General features: G+C 44.7%; 1 protein-coding gene and 1 non-coding gene across 18 annotated transcripts in view, besides 4 other annotated features; both read right to left on the reverse strand.

Annotated features, from left to right (window-relative positions):
* The window catches only part of ATP11C (ATPase phospholipid transporting 11C (ATP11C blood group)), a 210,556-nt gene extending 192,942 nt beyond the window's left edge, over positions 1-17,614 (reverse strand). For 4 of the 17 annotated variants that reach the window (XM_047442018.1, XM_047442017.1, XM_047442022.1 and 1 more), the window contains exon 1: positions 17,506-17,612. In XM_047442018.1, coding sequence (XP_047297974.1) covers positions 17,506-17,604 — 99 coding nt within the window. In that variant the 5' untranslated portion in view covers positions 17,605-17,612. Of the gene's footprint in view, positions 1-10,762; positions 12,415-12,726; positions 13,765-17,505 lie in introns of those variants that run through there. The other 13 variants (XM_047442028.1, NM_001353812.2, NM_001353811.2 and 10 more) reach the window with 8 other exon arrangements.
* On the reverse strand, positions 4,859-4,942 carry MIR505 (microRNA 505). Its single transcript, NR_030230.1, has one exon. It is a non-coding gene; the product is annotated as a microRNA 505 (primary transcript).
* Positions 12,791-12,950: a silencer, noted in NCBI's record as "silent region_21036". NCBI's record gives its function as "represses an Ori minimal core promoter by ATAC-STARR-seq in GM12878 lymphoblastoid cells {active_cell/tissue: GM12878}" and the evidence as "EXISTENCE:reporter gene assay evidence [ECO:0000049][PMID:35858748]".
* Positions 12,991-13,230: a silencer, noted in NCBI's record as "silent region_21037". NCBI's record gives its function as "represses an Ori minimal core promoter by ATAC-STARR-seq in GM12878 lymphoblastoid cells {active_cell/tissue: GM12878}" and the evidence as "EXISTENCE:reporter gene assay evidence [ECO:0000049][PMID:35858748]".
* Positions 14,011-14,360: an enhancer, noted in NCBI's record as "active region_30004". NCBI's record gives its function as "activates an Ori minimal core promoter by ATAC-STARR-seq in GM12878 lymphoblastoid cells {active_cell/tissue: GM12878}" and the evidence as "EXISTENCE:reporter gene assay evidence [ECO:0000049][PMID:35858748]".
* Positions 14,401-14,450: an enhancer, noted in NCBI's record as "active region_30005". NCBI's record gives its function as "activates an Ori minimal core promoter by ATAC-STARR-seq in GM12878 lymphoblastoid cells {active_cell/tissue: GM12878}" and the evidence as "EXISTENCE:reporter gene assay evidence [ECO:0000049][PMID:35858748]".

Genomic DNA, 18,713 nt, shown 5'->3' on the forward strand with positions numbered 1-18,713 from the left:
AGGAAAACCCTATCTCTACTAAAAATACAAAAATTAGCTGCGTGGTGGCGGGCACCTGTAATCCCAGCTACTCAGGAGGCTGAGAAGAGAATGGCTTGAACCCGGGAGGCGGAGGTTGCAGTGAGCAGAGATCGCAGCACTGCACTCAAACTTAAACACACACACACACACACACACACACACACACACACACACACACACACAAACTACTTATTTAAGTGAGGAAGAACTGAAGAAAGCAGTTTGGTAGTTCCTGAAAAGTTTAAACATACAATTACCATATGACCCAGCAATTCCACTAATATATACTCAAGTAAAAACATATTCATTTTAAAAAGCAAAAAAATGTGCCAGGCACAGTGGCTCACACCTGTAATTCCGGCACTTTGGGAGGCCAAGGTGGGCGGATGACCTAAGGCCAAGAGTTCGAGACAAGCCTGGCCAATATGGTGAAACCCCATATCTACTAAAAATACAAAAATAGCCGGGTGTGGTGGTGCACGCCTGTTGTCCCAGCTACTCAGGAGGCTGAGGCAGGAGAATTGCTTGAACCTGGGAGGCGGAGGCTGCAATGTGCCATGATGGCGCCACTGCACTCCAGCCTGGGCAACAGAGTGAGACTCTGTCTCAATAAAAAAATAAAAAAGAAAGGACAAAAATGTTCGAAGAAACATTTTTCACAAGAGTCAAAAAGTGCGAACAACCCAAATGTCCATCAGCTGATGAACAGATAAATAAAATGTGCTCTCTCCATAAAACGGAGTATTCTCTGCCTTCAAAAGGAATGAGTCCGGGCGCGGTGGCTCACGCCTATAATCCCAGCACTTTGGGAGGCCGAGCCGGGCGGATGACCTGAGGTCAGTTCAAGACCAGCCTAGCCAACATAGCAAAACCCCGTCTCTACTAAAAATACAAAAATTAGTCGAGTGTGGTGGTGCGTGCCTGTAGTCCAAGCTACTTTGGAGGCTGAGGCATGAGAATCGCTTGAACCCAGGAGGCACAGGTTGCAGTGAGCCGAGATCATACCACTGCACTCCAGCCTGGGTGACAGACTCCACCTCAAAAAAAAAAAAAAAAGAATTAAGTACTGATACTGATACATGCTACAACATGAACAAATCTTGAAAATATTACTATGCTACACCAAAGAATTCAGTCACAAAGGAACACATATTGTATGATTCCACTGGCAATCCAGAGATAAGAAAGTAGATGGGTGGTTGCCAAGGGCTGAAGGATAGAGGACTGGGACTAAGAGCTAACGGATGGGGTTTCTTTTTGAGGTAGTGGAAATGTGCTGGAATTAGATAGCTGTGATAGTTACACAGCATAGGAAATTTAAATCCACTTAAGTGTATACTTTAAAGTGGTGAATTTTATGTTAGGTGAATTATCTCAGTTTTTAAAAGTGAATGAAAAAAAGTGAAAGAGAGAGAGCAATACCAGCAAAGTATTTAACCAGAAATCAGTCGAAAGTCAATGAAGTGCTCCTGGTGTGCGTCTGTAAAAGATCCCCCTGGAGCTGTGTGGAAGACAGATAGGAGAGGGCAAAGGTGGATAATAAAATAATCAATTGCAAAGGTCCAGGTAAATGACAGCAGTAGCTTAAACTTGAATGGTGGTAGGTGTGGGCATGAAGAAAGGTGGATGGATGTGACAGCATTTTCAGAAATAGAACCTACTGGATTCTCTGACAAATGTGATGAAGGGAAAGGTTAGTATTAAGTATGACTGCTAGGTTTTTAGCTTGAGCTACTAGGAGGGGGATGGTGCCATTTACTGAACGGGAAAACTGGAGGAGGAACAAATATGAAAGTGGAGAGATGCTAATGACTTAGACGAGGGTGGCAGTCATGATGATAAAGAAAAGTGGCACTGACTAAGCATGGTGTCGTGATGAACTGGTTATGAGGGTGATATGTGTCCCCACCCAAATCTCATCTTGAATTATAATCCCCATAATACCCACCTGTCAAGGGAGAGACCAGGTGGAGGCAACTGAATCATGGGGGTGGTTTTCCCCATGTTCTCGTGATAGTGAGTGAGTCTCACGAGATCTGACGGTTTCATAAGGGCCTCTTCCCCCCTTCACTCGGCACTTCTCCTTCCTGCCACCTTGTGAGGGTGTCTTGCGTCCTAATTGCCTTCTGCCATGATTGGAAGTTTCCTGAGGCCTCCCCAGCCATGTGGAACTGTGAGTCCATTAAACCTCTTTCCTTTATAAATTACCCAATCTCAGGCAGTTCTTTAAAGCAGTATGAAAATAGACTAATACAGAGGGAATGAGATGCAATTCATGTTCTGGTAAGTCCGAATGATGCAGTCAGATCTGAAAGTCTATCAAAAGCTTTCTTATCTAATAGCAGTGAACTATAAATGTGTTGGTAAGGAATGTGCTCCTGAAAAAAGGCCTGATCTCCAGCTTTTTAAATAAATGACCACTAGTACTCAAGAAAATGAACTGCCATCCTGTCTCCCATGTGTAGTGAAAGTTACCAGAAATGTGTACCCATAATTTAAGCAGGGTAACTAAGTAAGCAGTCCTATAATAATATATGAAGTAGTGTCATGATATATTACCCCAAATATATATTTCATCCTGGTCTCTGCCTTACTGTCTCTGCACCAAATAAGGCCGGGCATGGCAGCTCACGCCAGTAATCCCAGCACTTTGGGAGGCTGAGTCAGGTGGATCACTTGAGGTCAGGAGTTCAAGACCAGCCTGGCCAACATGGTGAAACCCTGTCTCTCCTAAAAATACAAAAATTAGCCAGGTGTGGTGGCACACGCCTGTAGTCTCAGCTACTCAGGAGGCTGAGGCAGGAGAATCACTTGAACCCAGGAGGCAGAGGTTGCAGTGAGCCGAGATTGTGCCACTGCACTCCAGCCTGGGCAACAGAGCAAGACTGTCTCTCTCTCTCTCTCCTTCTCTAAATATATATATATATATATATATATATATATATATATATATATATATGCATTTTTTTTAAATGACATAAATTTACTGGAGTCATAGGTTTCAGAAAAGAGCATCTATGTATGGGAAGATTCCTATAGCTATTGTTGTGGAGACCTAAAGCCACCTGTTTTTAGCATCTCCTTTTTTAAAATCAAAATTACTACAGCAAACGTAAGGCATTGAAGATCGAGGTTTTGGTGTTTCTGCTGTGTCATGGACAGGATGTTTGTGTTCCCCTAAAATTCTTATGTGGAAATCCTAACTTCCAAGGTGACAGTACTAGGAGGTGAGGCATCTGACAGGTGATCAGGCCATGAAGGTGGAGCCCTCATAAATGGGATTAGTGCCCTAGGGAGCTCATTTCACTCTTTTTCTGCCATGTGAAGATACAATAAGTCACCAGTCTGCGACGTGAAGCCCCCTCACCAGTACCCAACCATGCTGGCATCCTGATCTTGGACTTCCAAGTTCCAGGATTGTGAGAAATAAATTTCTGTTGTGCATAAGCCACTGAATCTATGTTATACTTTTTATTTGTTTTGTTTTGTTTTTTTGAGGCAGAGTCTCGCTCTATTACTCAGGCTGGAGTGCAGTGGTGCCATCTCTGCTCACTGCAACCTCCACCTCCCTGGCTCAAGCAGTTCTCCAGCCTCAGCCTCCCGAGTAGCTGGGATTACAGGTGCTCTCCATCACACCTGGCTAATTTTTGTTTTTAGTAGAGATGGGGTTTCACCATGTTGGCCAGCCTGGTTTTGAACTCCTGACCTCAAATGATCCACCTGCCTCAGCCTCCCAAAGTGCTGGGATTACAGGCGTGAGCCACTGAGCCCCACCTGTTATACTTTTTTTTATAACAGCTCAAACTCATTTGGGGTTGGCATGTATGTTCTCTAAATTGACTGGTTCCCATGCTTTAAGTACAACAATGACCCTGCACCATTGCTCAGGTAATTGCCTCCTCCTGTAATGAGACTGCCCATCCCTAAAATCTCAGAACCTTCAGCCCTTTGGGTCCCCAGAGGCCCAGTTGACAGGCTACTTCCTCCATAAAGCTCTCCCCAAGAAATGAAGCCAGAGAGCCAGTGCCTCCTTCTGAATGCCTACTGCACTTACTGTGTATGTCCTTCAAAAGGATGGCTCTGGTGACCTACTGGCCTTGTGTGGAGGATGGTCCTGTGTGCTGGTCTTCTCTCTCTTCTACCAAACTGCAGGCTACTGGTGAGCAGGGCTGTACCTTACACACCTCTACAGCACCAAATAGGGGATGAGTGTTCCAAGAAAGCTGTGATTCACATGAATGTTTTCAGAAAAGAAGCCAGAATAAATTGTACACTATACTATAGATCCCTTAATCCTTATTACTGCAAAATACATTAATTGTGAAGCTTAAAGAACGTCCCCACTGCTTACACAACAGGTGTAGCTTACATAATCTGCTCTACCCAGCTGTTACTTACTTGTGGCAATTCCCTCCTGGCTTCTACTCCCTGTCGATATGTGGGATTACTGCACCATCCAGTATGATTTCCTTATTCCTTGCTCCAATCATAACAAATTTGTTAATTTTCCTTTATAACAGTAAAAATGGCTGAAACTCCAAATAACCAGAGATATCCCTAGGGTTTTCCATGACTATAAAACTCAAAAGACAATCCAGGATATAAACCAATATTTGTAAATATTGCCATAAAATTCATTGCTCAGAATTTTTTTTTTCCTATATAGTCTTCTTTGACAAAATACTGCAGTATTCCCACCATTTGGAAATTGTGTTACCCAAAAGGTATAGAATGGGATGAAGTGATGATGCAAATGAGTATTAGGACTATGAGCAAATGAATGGGAGCAGTAACAAAAGTCCAAAAGTCAGGAAAAATGAAAATCCACGAACTTGGCGATGCTCCAGAGAGGAAACCAGCAAGTGTTGACGCTAAACTGGCAGAAACATCAATACTTCCTGGCTCCCCCACTGGGTGCATCAATTTACCACCGGCAGGCTGCTCTTCTGCTTCAAGTGACAAACAGTAAGTGCTTTCAATGACAGTATGAAAAGGAATGACCCATAATCTAGAAGCATGGCTATGGGCAGCAAAGAAAAGATGTGATTGCTGGGAGTCTGTCTCAGCTGTACTGCTGATTAGCTTAATGATCTTGGACAAGTCATTTCCTTTCACTGAAAAAATACCAGTGTTTCACAATATTTGCGTGATGGAAAGAGTTAACATAGCAGGCCTGACACTGCTATTCTTAGTAAGGCCTGTTTGCAAGGTTGGTCCTTGGCTGGTGTCTGGGGACTTGGATTTTGGGAGGGTTTCCATCACCCTGATAAGAGTGGCTCACTCTGCTTAAGCTGTGTAAACAATAGGGTTTACACTGAATACCTGCTTTCCTCCTTGGGGTCTGGAATTTTGCTGTGTACCAGGTGGAGGGTGCCTGTGTGACCAGCTCCCACTAAAAACCCTGGGTACTGAATCTCTAATAAGCTTCCCTAGTAGACATTTCACACAAGTTGTCAAAACTCATTTGCTAGAGGAATTAAGCATGACCTGTGTGATTTCAGTGAAAGAGGACTGGAAGCTTGCACATGGTTTCCTCCAGACTTGGCCCCAATGAGCCTTTTCCCGTTACTGACTTTGCTCTGTATCCTTTTGCTATAATAAATCACATCCGCAAGCGTTTCTATGTACTGAGTTCTGCCAGTGAATCAACAAACCTAGGCCGGTTTTGAGGACCTCTGTCACAATTGGTATAGTGTTGAATAGTCTACCAAACGTTTTTTTCAACAGTCTTGTGAAATAGGTATTATTATTCCCATTCTATCGATGAAGAAACTGAAGTTCAAAAAGGTGAACAGAGAGTGTGCCCAGAAAATAAATATTTCCGTGTTTACTATATTATATATTGCTGTTCTCAAATTTTAGTGAACCTAAGAACCACTTGGAATGCTTGTTAAAAACAGTTTCTTGGAGTCTGTCACCCAAGACTTGGATTCAGTAAGTTCAAGGCCCAGGAATCTGTATTTATAGTAAGCATACAGGATTATTATTATTTGAGATGGAGTTTTGCTCTTGTTGCCCAGGCTGGAGTGCAATGGCACGATCTCGGCTCAGTGCAACCTCTGCCTCCCAGGTTCAAGTGATTCTCCCGCCTCAGCCTCTCAAGTAGCTGGGATTACAGGCCTGTGCTACCACTCCTGGCTAATTTTGTAGCCCAGTCTGAAATGCATAAGCTTCTTGGTGGCTGCTTCCTAAACTGATCATTCTTCATCTGTTATTACTGACTCAGACTGTGTTACCAATTCAGCTCAAAACAATTAAACAAGTATTAATTGAACATCTACTGTTTACCTGATGCTGTGCTAACTGCAAGATCATTTTCAAGAACACTTCTGATTTTTCCAAGAATACCTTGGTAAAGAGAAAGGGACTAGGAAAACATTGCCACATTAATACTTTATGACAACATATAATAGAGACGTCTAAAAAACAAATGATGATATCTGCTTGAACAGCAATATCATCAACATCACCAATCCTCCCATATTCCATTAAATACATATGGCACAAGAAATCAATGATTTCTACTTCACAAATACAGGTTAACCTTCTAAATCTGGAAATCCACGGTCCATTATCATTTATAAATCACATCTTCTATTATCAAGAAGTCAGCCGACCCAGTAATCCGTCCATACACTGCAATAATTGAGGGGCTGTCTGCCAATGTGTGGGCATAGGGCATCCTGTGCCCATATCTGCAGTGCTGAGCACTCATTCATCATTAAGCTGCAGCAGTGTTAACATATGCTGCAGTTGTGCCAGTATGTTTTGTTTTACGATCACCGCTAATCTACCCTTATACCAGGCCAAGAAGGTAAATGTTAAGTGAAAGGAAATAAACTCGAGAGCCAGCACCTAATTCATTTGTGGAAGCCCAGAACCTCCCTCCACCTAACCAGAAAAACTCCCCCAGTCTCGAGGGTTCCAGATGTAAAAGGTTCATCTGTATAAAGCACTACAGATGTACAGGAAATTCCACCACCTTGAAGAAAAAAATAGTATTTTTTTTTTATATCCCATGCATTCACCCTCTTTGAGAGAACTGAATAACCATGTTAGACAAGCAATGAGCCTTGATTTTTTCCATCACTCAACAAACCAGTATTTGATTTCACTCAGTGGGCTAGTTCTTTGCACATCATGCAGACACAGCAAGGTTAGTTATGGTTCTTTCAGGGGCCACTGGCCATCCTTTACCTCCTAGAACCCACTGCTCAGCAGGTGGTAAACTGGCAGCTTTTTGAAAAAACAAGCTCTTTTGAACAGTTGCATCAATATAAAAATGGCCAGCTTCACCTGCCCAAATCTCAATTCAGCTAAAAGTTAATTAGGAACACTGGAAACTACCTGGTATATAGGCACTCAATATTACTCACTAAATGGCTGAATTATTAGCAATAAGCATAAACAAAAGGAACAAACAGTAAACACTTACAGAAAGTATTCAGGACACATTCAGAGTTTTATGTTGCTTAGTCACTAAAAGGTAGATCAGGAAAAAAGAAGACAAAACCTGCTTTCACTTGTGTAAAGATTTATTTCAAGTTACAGTGGTTCATTTCTAAATAAGTTTCCCACCTTGCGTGGGGTCAGCCTAGCATCTATTTGCAAAAGAGCAGTTTGCCATGCGTAGGTCAGATGAAAGGAGACAAATGCAAGAAACTCCTTTTTAACTGACATCCAAACAACCAGAAAATAACTGATATTGTACAATCTATTTTTAGTAGAAAGAAAAATGACAAGTATGTAATAGTAACTTATTCACAAAGATCAAATTTCATGGTATGTCACAAATGTATTCAATGCAATGCAGTTACCATGCCCTCTATATCTATAGTTGTGTATGTAATGATAATTACAGCTCAGGAAGACAGGAACCTTGTCTGTCTTGCTCATCTACGACCCCAGGATTGACTGCAGTGCCCAGCACATAGTAGGTGCTCAGTGAATATTTGCTGAATGATAATTGCTCTGCAAAACCATACAATGCCTTAATCATCTAAGAAAGAGGCCAGGCATGCTGGCTCTTGCCTGTAATTCCAGCACTTTGGGAGGCCGAGGTAGGGAAATCGCCTGAGGTCAAGAGCTCGAGACTAGCCTGGCCAACATGGTGAAACCCCGTTTCTACTAAAAAATACAAAAAATTAGCCAGGCGTGGTGGCAGGCGCCTGTAATCCCAGCTACTAGGGGGGCTGAGGCAGGAGAATCGCTTGAACTCGTGAGGCGGAGGTTGCAGTGAGCCAAGATCGTGCCATTGCACTCCAGCCTGGATGACAAGAGTAAGACTCTGTCTCAAAAAAAATAACAATAAAAATAAAAATAAATAAAAGAAGGGGATATTTTGTGGCCGGGCTCATGCAGATGGCAGATCCTGGGACTTCTCAGCCTCTGTAACTGCATGATCCAATTCCCATAATAAATCTCAAAAAAAAGGAAAAAAAAAAAGATTATACTATGGTCAGTATAGCTTTCGGCATTAGATGTATTTATTCTAATTCTTAGAATACTAGTAATGTATACGGTATACCCCAACTAACAAGAACTCATTCTTTGCTCATTCTGCATAAGAGCGGGTTTACAATAATCACTATCTGTAAGTAAAGGTTATTATTTATGGGATACATACAAAAGTTGTTCTTTCAAAAAATATTTTACTGAACACCTACTAGGGACCAGGCACTGTGCTAGGAGCTAAGAACACACTGTGAACTGTCCCTGTCTAGGACAGCCTTTCTCAATTAGGGTTCCTTCACTCCAGCTGCGCAGGAAAATGTTAATTTATTACTAACAATGCATGTCCTAGGGCATCAGTGCCAATTCTCTCCATGTTGAGAAAGACTAGGGAGCCATACAAGTTAAAAGGCAATTATAACACAATATGATTTAAAAAAAAAAAGTTGCTTTTAAGTATGGTCAAGTTCAACTGCTAAACCTAGACCTCTATGAACAGCCATGTGGGAGCCGAGATACACAGACCATTTGTAATAGTTGTGCAAATGTAAAAATATTGCAATACATACATACAGATATATTTCTAAACACAGTAAAATAAAATCAATATTTTCCCGCTCGTCAATGTCAGGCCAGGATTATTAGTAAAGTGAAACAGAAAAAAAAAAATGTTTAATTACTCTGATAGTTTAAAGGGGAAACTAAAAACCTTCTTGCTCCTGGGGAAAAAACAAAGCAATTACCTGAACTATTTTCTTAATTGCCTCCATATATTGCTTCATTAGACTAGCCTTGCCTTGGACTCAAAGCAATAAATTAGCTACCTATTTCATTAATTCTTATTTTGTATTTTTTAGTCTTATTTTAAATTTCCATTCTTCCTTATGCAGTCTAATTTCTTCCTAGTCCTGGGCATCTTCTGTGTGATATTATGATTATATGCTACATGCTTTATGAAACCAAAGCAGTTTAAGGGCTTCTAGAATCAGAGATTTAAATGTACTCCAGTATTTCACACTCACAATTAAGCTTTCATGTATCAAAGGTCTAGAAATGCATACCTGTTAACTATCACTGACAAGCTAAACTGACAGCATCCTCTTGACCAAGCCCCCAACCTACTTTATCAAGAAATCTCTTATTTTGAATCTTTAGTATAAAATAATTTCATAAGCCAAAAAGAGGGGGGAATTGTTTTTAGACTTTCAATAAATCTTTAAACCCAAGAGAACACGTTACTATAGTCACTAGGAATTGCATTAAGAATAAAACAAGACAGGATAACATAAAAGTCCATGACCCTTAAATCTCAACTAGTCCAGACTTCTGATTAAATATGCCTTTGAAGAAAATAAATTGTACAGACAGAGTTATTATTACTTATTTACTGTATTTATGGAGATGTTGACTTGAGAACAGGTGGTGCTTTTATTGCACTCAGAGACATCCAACTCTTAAATCCTTTAGGACACCCTCTACATGCCTCAACCCTAAAATGCTATACACCAAATCCACCAATTTCTTTCCACCTCAAAACTGTCAAAAGGAAAGTCATAATTCATCAGAAAGAAAGGAACACAGTTATTAATGGCAAAGAAGTCAAGACCATGTATTTAAAAAAATACAATGAATCACTATTTTCTTTTAGCTTGAAATTGGAAAACTCGAAAAATAAATGGCATTTCAAAAATGATTCAGCAAACACAACTGAGCTATAGAAGATGATGCTTGTAAGAATCCTAAGGGATTCTTCCACGTCAGGTTTAAAATATAAAGGAAGCACTTCTCTAATATGTAGTCTAGTTTTCAATAACCAACAACTACAATCAACACCACTGTAATTTATTTCACAATCAAAACCAATATCAGACACGTACAGGTACACTAAAAAAACAACTCATTTTGAAAGGAATTCATAGCTCTATTTCTAAAATATTAAAACAATCATAAGACAACTCACAACCTTGACTACATCTATACTGCTGTGAAAGTCTCAAAGTTCCACTCAAATCTTTAATTCTAGTCTTCTAGTAATTCAAATGGAAGTACCCCTCAAAGAATTTGTCAGGCAAAAGAGGAGAACAGCGCATGGTTTACTGATCTAAGAGATGGAAAAATTGCCCCCCTCCCCCAAATTTTGAAGCCGTTTTTTAGCAATGATTATTTGATAGTAATTTTCACATTCAGTCCAACGGTATGCAGATTAATTCCTTGCCCTGGGCCTAGGGCTCAGACACAACTCCTAAGAACCTTCCAGCTTACCGCACTGGTACAAATTCCTGATACTTACCACAGTCATGGCTGCGCAGGAAAATGTGAACAGCTGAATATTCCAGCTGCAACAATAAGGTCAAAGCTCATTTCAGTATTAGCAAAAGTGATTCTCTGCTGAGATCTTGGTCGGGGATGCAAAGTACTAGCCTCAAACCTGCAGGCTGGCACCTCAACAACTGCTGCAAATTCTACTGCATGCCCTGGCTTCCTGGGCCAGCACTGCTTAATTACTAGACTCTGATACGATGCAGATCACTTTTCGCAAAAGGGAAGCAATGGGCTTTTAGACCAATACTTGAGTTGTTCGGTTTCAAATGTTCAAATCCTTAAAAAAAAAAAAAAAGGATTTCAACAACTTAAGTTTAATGATTTTATTATGATTCAGAGCCCAGTTGTTTTCCACCATAAGAGTGCCACGTGAAAAGATTATCCTTTTCCTAAATACAATTAGCTTTCATTGCCACCTTTCCCTTTTTGTCACCCCCACGCAACACTCCAAGATCACAAGAATCTATGTGAAACAGCTATTAAGAACAATACCCGCTTGCATTCTCAGGCTAAATGTGAGAAACCAATTTTAGTCACTTGCTTCAGCAAAGCTATCAGTACAAGCCATCACCTACGGATTTCAAGATGATTGATATGTACAACCTCTACTGCTCTATGCCACAGGTAATAATCTGTTCCAATTTCATACTGCATGTTCCTGGGTGGGGTCAACATTTAGAAAACCATTAACACAGCACTATTCTAAAAAGGGATGTGCAAGTATTACTTTTAGCCAGTGTACACTTGTGAAAGTTTCAAATGAAGGAAAAATGAGAGCAAATATATCCGATGTATGAAAAATGTTAGCAACGTTTTGATTAGGAATAATTGCATGAATAAAACCAAATCGACATGTTCTCAAAAGATATATTTTAAGGCAGGTAGAGGAAAGCACTCAGCTTTCAACCCTTTTTCCTAACTACAGAAAAATCAAAATTTGCAGATGAACCCTTTCTTCCACATCATTGGCAGAAATAAAATCCTATTCCCGCCACCACCTCTTGCAATTAAGGAAGTTGCTACAAATAGCAGCACGGAACGTAAATGGTCCTGTTTCGCTCCATTCTTAATGTACCCTCTAGGAGTAAACAGGTTACTCAAAAAAGTCAGTAGCCAGAAAGCGATTTTCCCTATGGCTAACTCCCATGAAAATGAAATTCCCTTTTCTGGGGATTCTGAAGGGGGTAAACGTGGACGGAGGAGTCCAGTCACAGTCCGCCTTCTCCCATGGGTTCAAGGTCTGGAGTGCTCAGTCCTCCGCGAGGCTTCAGACCAGAGATCGGCAGCACGGGCAGTGGCGGCGCAGCCTCCTCGCGGCTGCACATCCACCCGGCCCACCCTGACAATCACGCTCGCCTTTCAAACACCCTAAAGGTGAGCTTTGTAGGCTGGGTCTCCAAAGTTTGCCCGGCCTCCGGTCAGAAGCCGCCCGCTGGCTGAGCCCTAGGCAAGGCTGAGTCTTGCCCTAGTCTCCGGCTCCCTCAGCCCCCAGCTCTTCTTTTGGGCCACCGTGACAGGTCTAGGTTTACCTCCATGTGCTCGTGGCAGAGGAAACAAAAGAAAGCAACCTCCCTGAGAATAAAACGCCATCTTCGACTAATTGGCAAACTGAGGGGTCCCCGGGTCGGTCCCCCCACGAGTCCCCCCCACCACCCAGCCCGAAGGCGGCCCCCAGTTTCAGGCAGAGTTTGTAACAGCTCCGGGAAGCCCTGGTCGAATTGTCCTGGGGGCGAGGGTGGGATACCCCGAGAGCCCTACCTGCCTCCCCTCCCCGGCCGCCTGGGCACCGTGTTTCGGTGAAAAGGAAGAAGAGGGGTGGTGGTGTCTCCCAGAGACGTAACTGCCCCCTCAGAAAATTGTTGTGAGGGACCCGGCGAAGGGGCTGGCGAGCAAGCAAACCGGCACGCGCGGAGCCGCAGCGAGTGTACTTACAAAACGATTCAAGCTCCGGCGGAACATCGCGTCGAAGGCTGCCGGGCGCTGAGCTGGGCTCTACCGGGCTGTCTGGGAAGGCGCCGTCCACAAAACACACTGCGGCGTGGGCCGGCGGCGCCAAGCGGAGCAGCGAGGCGGGCGGCCGGGCCACCCGCTCGCCGCCTGCCCCCCTCGGCTCTCCGCGCTCCCCCGCCCCCCAGCCGCCCGCAGCCTAGCCGCCGCCCCGCCTCACTCGCGGCCCGCCCCCGGCCTGCCTGACCCGGGGGCGGCGGCCCCGCGGATCGCCCTTATCTGGCCCCGGCACCCCGGGCCGGCAGCTCGCGCAGCACCCACTGAGAAGGCGAGCCCGCCGCGCGGGGGAAGGATGGCGGAGGAGCGCGAGGCTCCTCCTGTGGGGAGGGGGCGCCCCCGTCTCTCCGCCAGCGCCGGGCTCGGCACCCCGCGGGATGCGCTCTTCCCCGACGCGGCACCACCGCCCGCCTCCCCGCTGGACTCCGCGGCCGCCCCCCTCGGGGCACGGGGAACCCTCCCGAGGCACCCCGCGCCTCACCTCGCCTCAGCCCGACACTACTCCCCTGTCTCTGTCGGGAGCCACAGCCTCCCTCGCCCCGGCCCTAACTCGTCCGCCGTGCCGCGCCGCGCCGTTTCGCTCGCAGCCCCTCCTCGGTCCGCGGCTGCCGCGCCGCCCCGCGCTCTGGTCCCGCACTCGGGCCAGGGAGCCTGGGTACAGCCAACCGGCCCGCCCTGAGCCAGCCGACGGCCAGACTCCCTCTTCCGGGCGTGGTGGAGCCGGGCTCTGAGGCAGGGCACCGTGAAGACCCCAGCGCGGGAGGGGCGGGGCGGGGTGCGAGGGGGGACTAGTTCTGAAAGCCCACCCTCCTCATCTGCACCGACGAGGGTTCCCCCTCGACCCTCGCGCCGCTGTACTCCCACCTACGCGGCTTTCCCTCCTCTCAGTCTTTCTCTCGTCCTGCCTGCCCACCTAAGCCTTCTTACTTCCACTTTCTCTGAGGTTGTAAAGTCAGGCTTTGTGTCGTTGCTGCTGCGCAGCGGGGCGGGATTTCCCTGACCCCCACCCCGCCCCACCCAGGCCCCTCCCGCTCGCCCCCTCCCCCTCCTTGCTCCCGGGGCAGCCTGGGAGTTGTAGTCCAACCGTCCCCCTACTTCGCCTGGTACCGCGGGCTGGGAGCTCCCCCACACGCTAGTCCCGGGTTTGCCCAGAGGGTTGAAGAAGGAAGCGCGGGCTGAACAGCGGGTTCTCCACGCCGGCCGGCTGGGTGTGGAGGCCGGGCGCACTCGGTAGCCTTCCTAGCGGTGGGACATGTGAGAAGGCTAAATTAGGCAAAGCTCCGAATCCTGGGAGCTTTCCCTGGAACGCAAAATGTGCGCATCAGGAAACCCTCTACACCCTCGGCCCCCAGCTTAGAGCTGGAATTTGCGAAACTTTAAAAATTACAAAAGAAAAGCGAGTCCAGAATTGCCACGAGGCTGGGCATCCCTCCCAACTACCACAACCCCACCCCTTTTCACCGCCCCTTAAGGCGGGGCCCAAGGCTGTTGGAGAAGAACTTGCAGATTCTTCTATAAAAGTCAAAAAGAAGGAAAGGGAGTTCAGAGACTCTTACACGAGTCTTCCGCCTCGCCGCGTTCTCCTGCCAGTTTAGAGCTGGGGACAGGGCCCAGCCACACCACAGGCCTTCCCAAAGGTCGCGAATAGGCCTTTACTACTAGGCATAGGCGCTTCTCCTTTACCCTCCGGAGTTCGGATTCATTTCAACAAACCTTTGCTGGGAATTTTCTTTGTACCAGGCACTGTGCCAGGGCTGGACACAGCGATTTCTTAAAAGACCTCCCCAACAGGGTGGTCGCAATCTGGTTGGGGGATACAAACAAGCGAAAATGCCACGTTAGAATTTAATAATAGCTAGAGTTCAAAGTGCTAGAGAAATAGGGGAGAGCGACATTGCATCTGAAAATGGGGTTTGGGAAGTTTTCCTAAAAGCCCTGGAGATTAAACTAGCCCTTGAAACGTGGGAAGGCTTTAGAGGGACCTGACTGAGCCCAAGGGGACAAAGTCCAGGGTAGAGGGAGAGGTCGGTGAAAAAGCGCAGGACAAACTAAGAAAGAGATCACGCTGTAGTGGCAGACGCCCAGGACGTGTAGGTAAGGGCGGCTCGAACGAAAGCTAAAATCTAAAACTCTTCAAAAACATGTTACGAAGTTTGAACTTCATTCTGCGATCAACGAGAAGCCCATCTCCCAATAAAATGCAAATGCAGGAGACCTAAGGTTTGTTCCCAAACTGTCCTAACTGCCAAGAAGTAAAACCAACCGTTTTCAATTCTTCCCCTCTTATGATTCCTTCTCTGCTCACAGTTGAGCCTGTATCTAATGATTTTTAAGATTTATGTTAAATTTATATTTATATTAATCAGATATTATGATATTTTATTGACAAAAGAGATCTAAAGTTTTGCTCTCTACTGCTTTAAAGATTTTCAAATAGAGTTATTTTCTAGCTTTCTAGCTTTACCTTTTTTTTTTTTTTTTTTTTGAGACAGTCTCACTCTGTCACCCAGGCTGGAGTGCAGTGGCGCGATCTTGGCTCACTGCAGCCTCTGCCTCCTGGGTTCAAGTGATTCTCGTGCCTCAGCCTCCCAAGTAGCTGGGATTACAGATGCCTGCCACCACACCCGGCTAATTTTTGTATTTTTAGTAGAGACGGGGTTTCACCATCTTGCCCAGGTCTCGATCTCCTGACCTCAGGTGATCCACCCGCCTCGGCCTCCCAAAGTGCTAGGATTACAGGCGTGAGCCACCATGCCCGGCCTCTAGCTTTACTTTTATTGAACACAGCAAATACTGTAATTTCTTCACTAGTTTATTTGTTGAACGACTGCTATGTGGCAGACATTATTCTAGATACTGGAATTGGGAGGTGGAGGAGGTTATTGTCTTTAGTTCTAGGTATAAGTCTAGAATTCTTACCAAAATACATCCTTATCAATAAAATAATAAACTAATTTAGACATTTGGGGATACAAGTGCTTGCTAGTGAATAGTAAATAATATCGTTCCAAATTCAATTCTGTTAAACAAGTGGAAAAAATGTACTTTGCTTATAGATTCAAACAGATCAACTTTAAAAAATATTAGAGACCTGAAATTTTTTTTTGTTTGCATTATGCTCTCATACATACCCATTGTCATGTTACTGCAGCCTAATCACAGGAATTTTAAGATTCCTCAAGATATAGCAGTATTGGGCCAGGCGCGGTGGCTCACACCTGTAATCCCAGCACTTTGGGAGGCCAAGGTGAGTGGATCACCTGAGGTCAGGAGTTCGAGACCAGCCTGGGCAACATGGTGAAACCCTGTATCTACTGAAAATACAAAAATTATCCAGGTGTGGTGGCGGATGCCTGTAGTCCCAGCTACTCAGGAGGCTAAGACAGGACAATTGAATCGCTTGAACCTGGGAGGTGTAGGTTGCAGTGAGCCGAGATCGCACCACTGCACTCCAGCCTGGGTGACAAGAGCAAAACTCCATCCCCACCCCCCAAAAAAGATATAGCAGTATTGTTGATTTTTATTTGTTATAATTCTGCTATTTATTCTCTCAATTTATTTCAATACGCCACCTATACTCATGGGTCCAGTCTAATTTGCTCAACTATAAAAATGCAATTCCAGGCATTTTTATGGGATTTTTATTCCAGGTATTTTTATGGGAGGCCGAGGCAGGCAGATTACCTGAAGTCAGGAGTTTGAAACCAGCCTGAACAACATAGCGAAACCCTGTCTCTACTAAAAATACAAAAATTAGCTGGGCGTGGTGGCACGCACCTGTAATCCCAGCTACTCGGGATCGGGAGGCTGAGGCAGGAGAATCACTCGAACCCGGGAGGTGGAGGTTGCAGTGAGCCAAGATCGCGCCAGTACACTCAAGCCTGGGCAACAGAGCGAGACTCCGTCTCAAAAAAAAAAAAATGCAATTCTGGGGGCAGGATGGCTCACACCTGTTATCCCAGCACTTTGGAAGGCGAAGGTAGGAGAATCGCTTGAGTCCAGGAGTTTGAGTCCAGCCTGGGCAACATAGCAAGACCTCATCTTTATTTTTTTTTAATGCAATTCCATACAAATCAAAATATACTCAGCAAAACATGAAATTATGCAAGGTGATTTTTTCTGTATCCAAACTCAACCTGAAATTAGAGCTACTCTCACACACATCCTTCAGAGTCACTCCTTTGTGAGTTTTTTTAAGACAAGAAAAAAGATTTTGGTTCTTTTTAGTGCCTCCTCACAGTTTCCAAAGAAAACCCAGGTGTTGTAGAAAGCTGTTGTCTGTGACTATGTAAAGTAGGCCCTCAGCCAGCATTTTCATTGGGACAACTCCATTGAACAGAACTGCAAAAATGAACTTCCTCCTGCCTAAACTGTCAGAACCCCTGAAACATAACACCACCTCTTCTGGTGGATCAGCTAACTGCAACAGAAAGAAGCCCCACAGGTAGGAATTCAGAGGAAACAGTCTTGTTTCTGTCCTTATTACCAACTTGACTAGATAATGCTTGCTACCTGAGGGAGAGAAGGGAAGGAGTGCTTTCTCAATCCTTTCAGTTCTGTTGCACCATTTCTGTACTAATTACCCAGGAGCTCTTCTTCCCTATTGTCCCCACCCCCAATCTTCCATACCTTCTACCTCAACCCCTCAGAAATCTCACCATGGCAAGTGAGCAAAACAACCACTAGAGCATAGGATGTAGGCCACACCTGTGACGAAGGAGCGCAAACTGCTTCTGGGATCTGTGGGTCGGTCAGCAATTCAAGTAATCTGGCAGGAGGGGAGCGGTGCGAAGGAGTCACTTCCATCTAATACCAAAAAAAGAAAAAAGAAGAAAGAAAAAATTGAGGCTGTTGTATTAGCATCTAAATCACCCCATCATTAGCAAATCGAAGGAATTCAACTGTCTGTCTGAGCTTCCAAACATATCTGGTAAGACTATCTTTTGCCCATTTGAAATTTATTTCCCCCTTTCAAGGCTAGCCTTGATGTTTATTTATGATCAGTTTTACCTGTATCTTCCTTTTGGGCCCCTCCAATTCATTCTGTACACTGCAACCACAGAAATCTATGGCAAGCAAGTCAGATCAAATCACTCCCCTGCTTAGGACTTTTCAGTAGCTTCCCACTCTCTTAGCATAAGTTCAAAATCCTGCCTTAACATCACCAACAAGAACCCTGAATTCTCTGACCTCTGCCTTCCCTCTCTAACCTCAGGTAGACGACTTTTCCTCTCACCAGGCTCTATCCCACGCGTCTGCTTACGTTCCTTGAGTTCCCAAAGCTCCTTCTTTCTTGACAGCTTTTGCACAGGCAACAGTCTCTGCTGGAACGCTTTCACCCACCGTTGCTATTCATCCTTCAGCTCTCAGCTTAAATGTCACTTCCTCAGATGACATCAGGGCTCCCTGTTATTGCCCTCCAAATAGCCCATATTAATTACATCCTAGGGTACTGACAGATGAGGTTAGTAATCATGGAGAATGGCAGAAGTCCAAAGGGACTGAGTGATTATCTAATATTGTCTTGTTTTTCAAAAAGAGGAAGAAGATATATTCTAGTAATCATAATATTGAAGGCAGGTAAGGTTCTATAACTGACCATTAAAAGGATAGTTTTGTTTTTTTAAAAATCACCGTGGAAGGGAAGAGGCAATCGCTAGGAGCCACAATAAGTTCACTGAGGTGAAGTTTGGCCTTCAAGATTCTGTAGAAATTACTTCTTTTTTTTTTTCGAGGCCAAGTCTCACTCTCTCGCCCAGGCTGGAATGCAGTTGCACGATCGTGGCTCACTGCAACCTCCGCCTCCCGGGTTCAAGCAATTCTCCTGCTTCAGCCTCCTGAGTAGCTGGGATTATAGGCACCCACCACCACGCCCTACTAAGTTTTGTATTTTTAGTAGAGACGGGCTTTCGCCA

This window comes from Homo sapiens, chromosome X (assembly GCF_000001405.40).
Source record: "Homo sapiens chromosome X, GRCh38.p14 Primary Assembly".
Classification (NCBI taxonomy): Eukaryota; Metazoa; Chordata; class Mammalia; order Primates; family Hominidae; genus Homo; species Homo sapiens.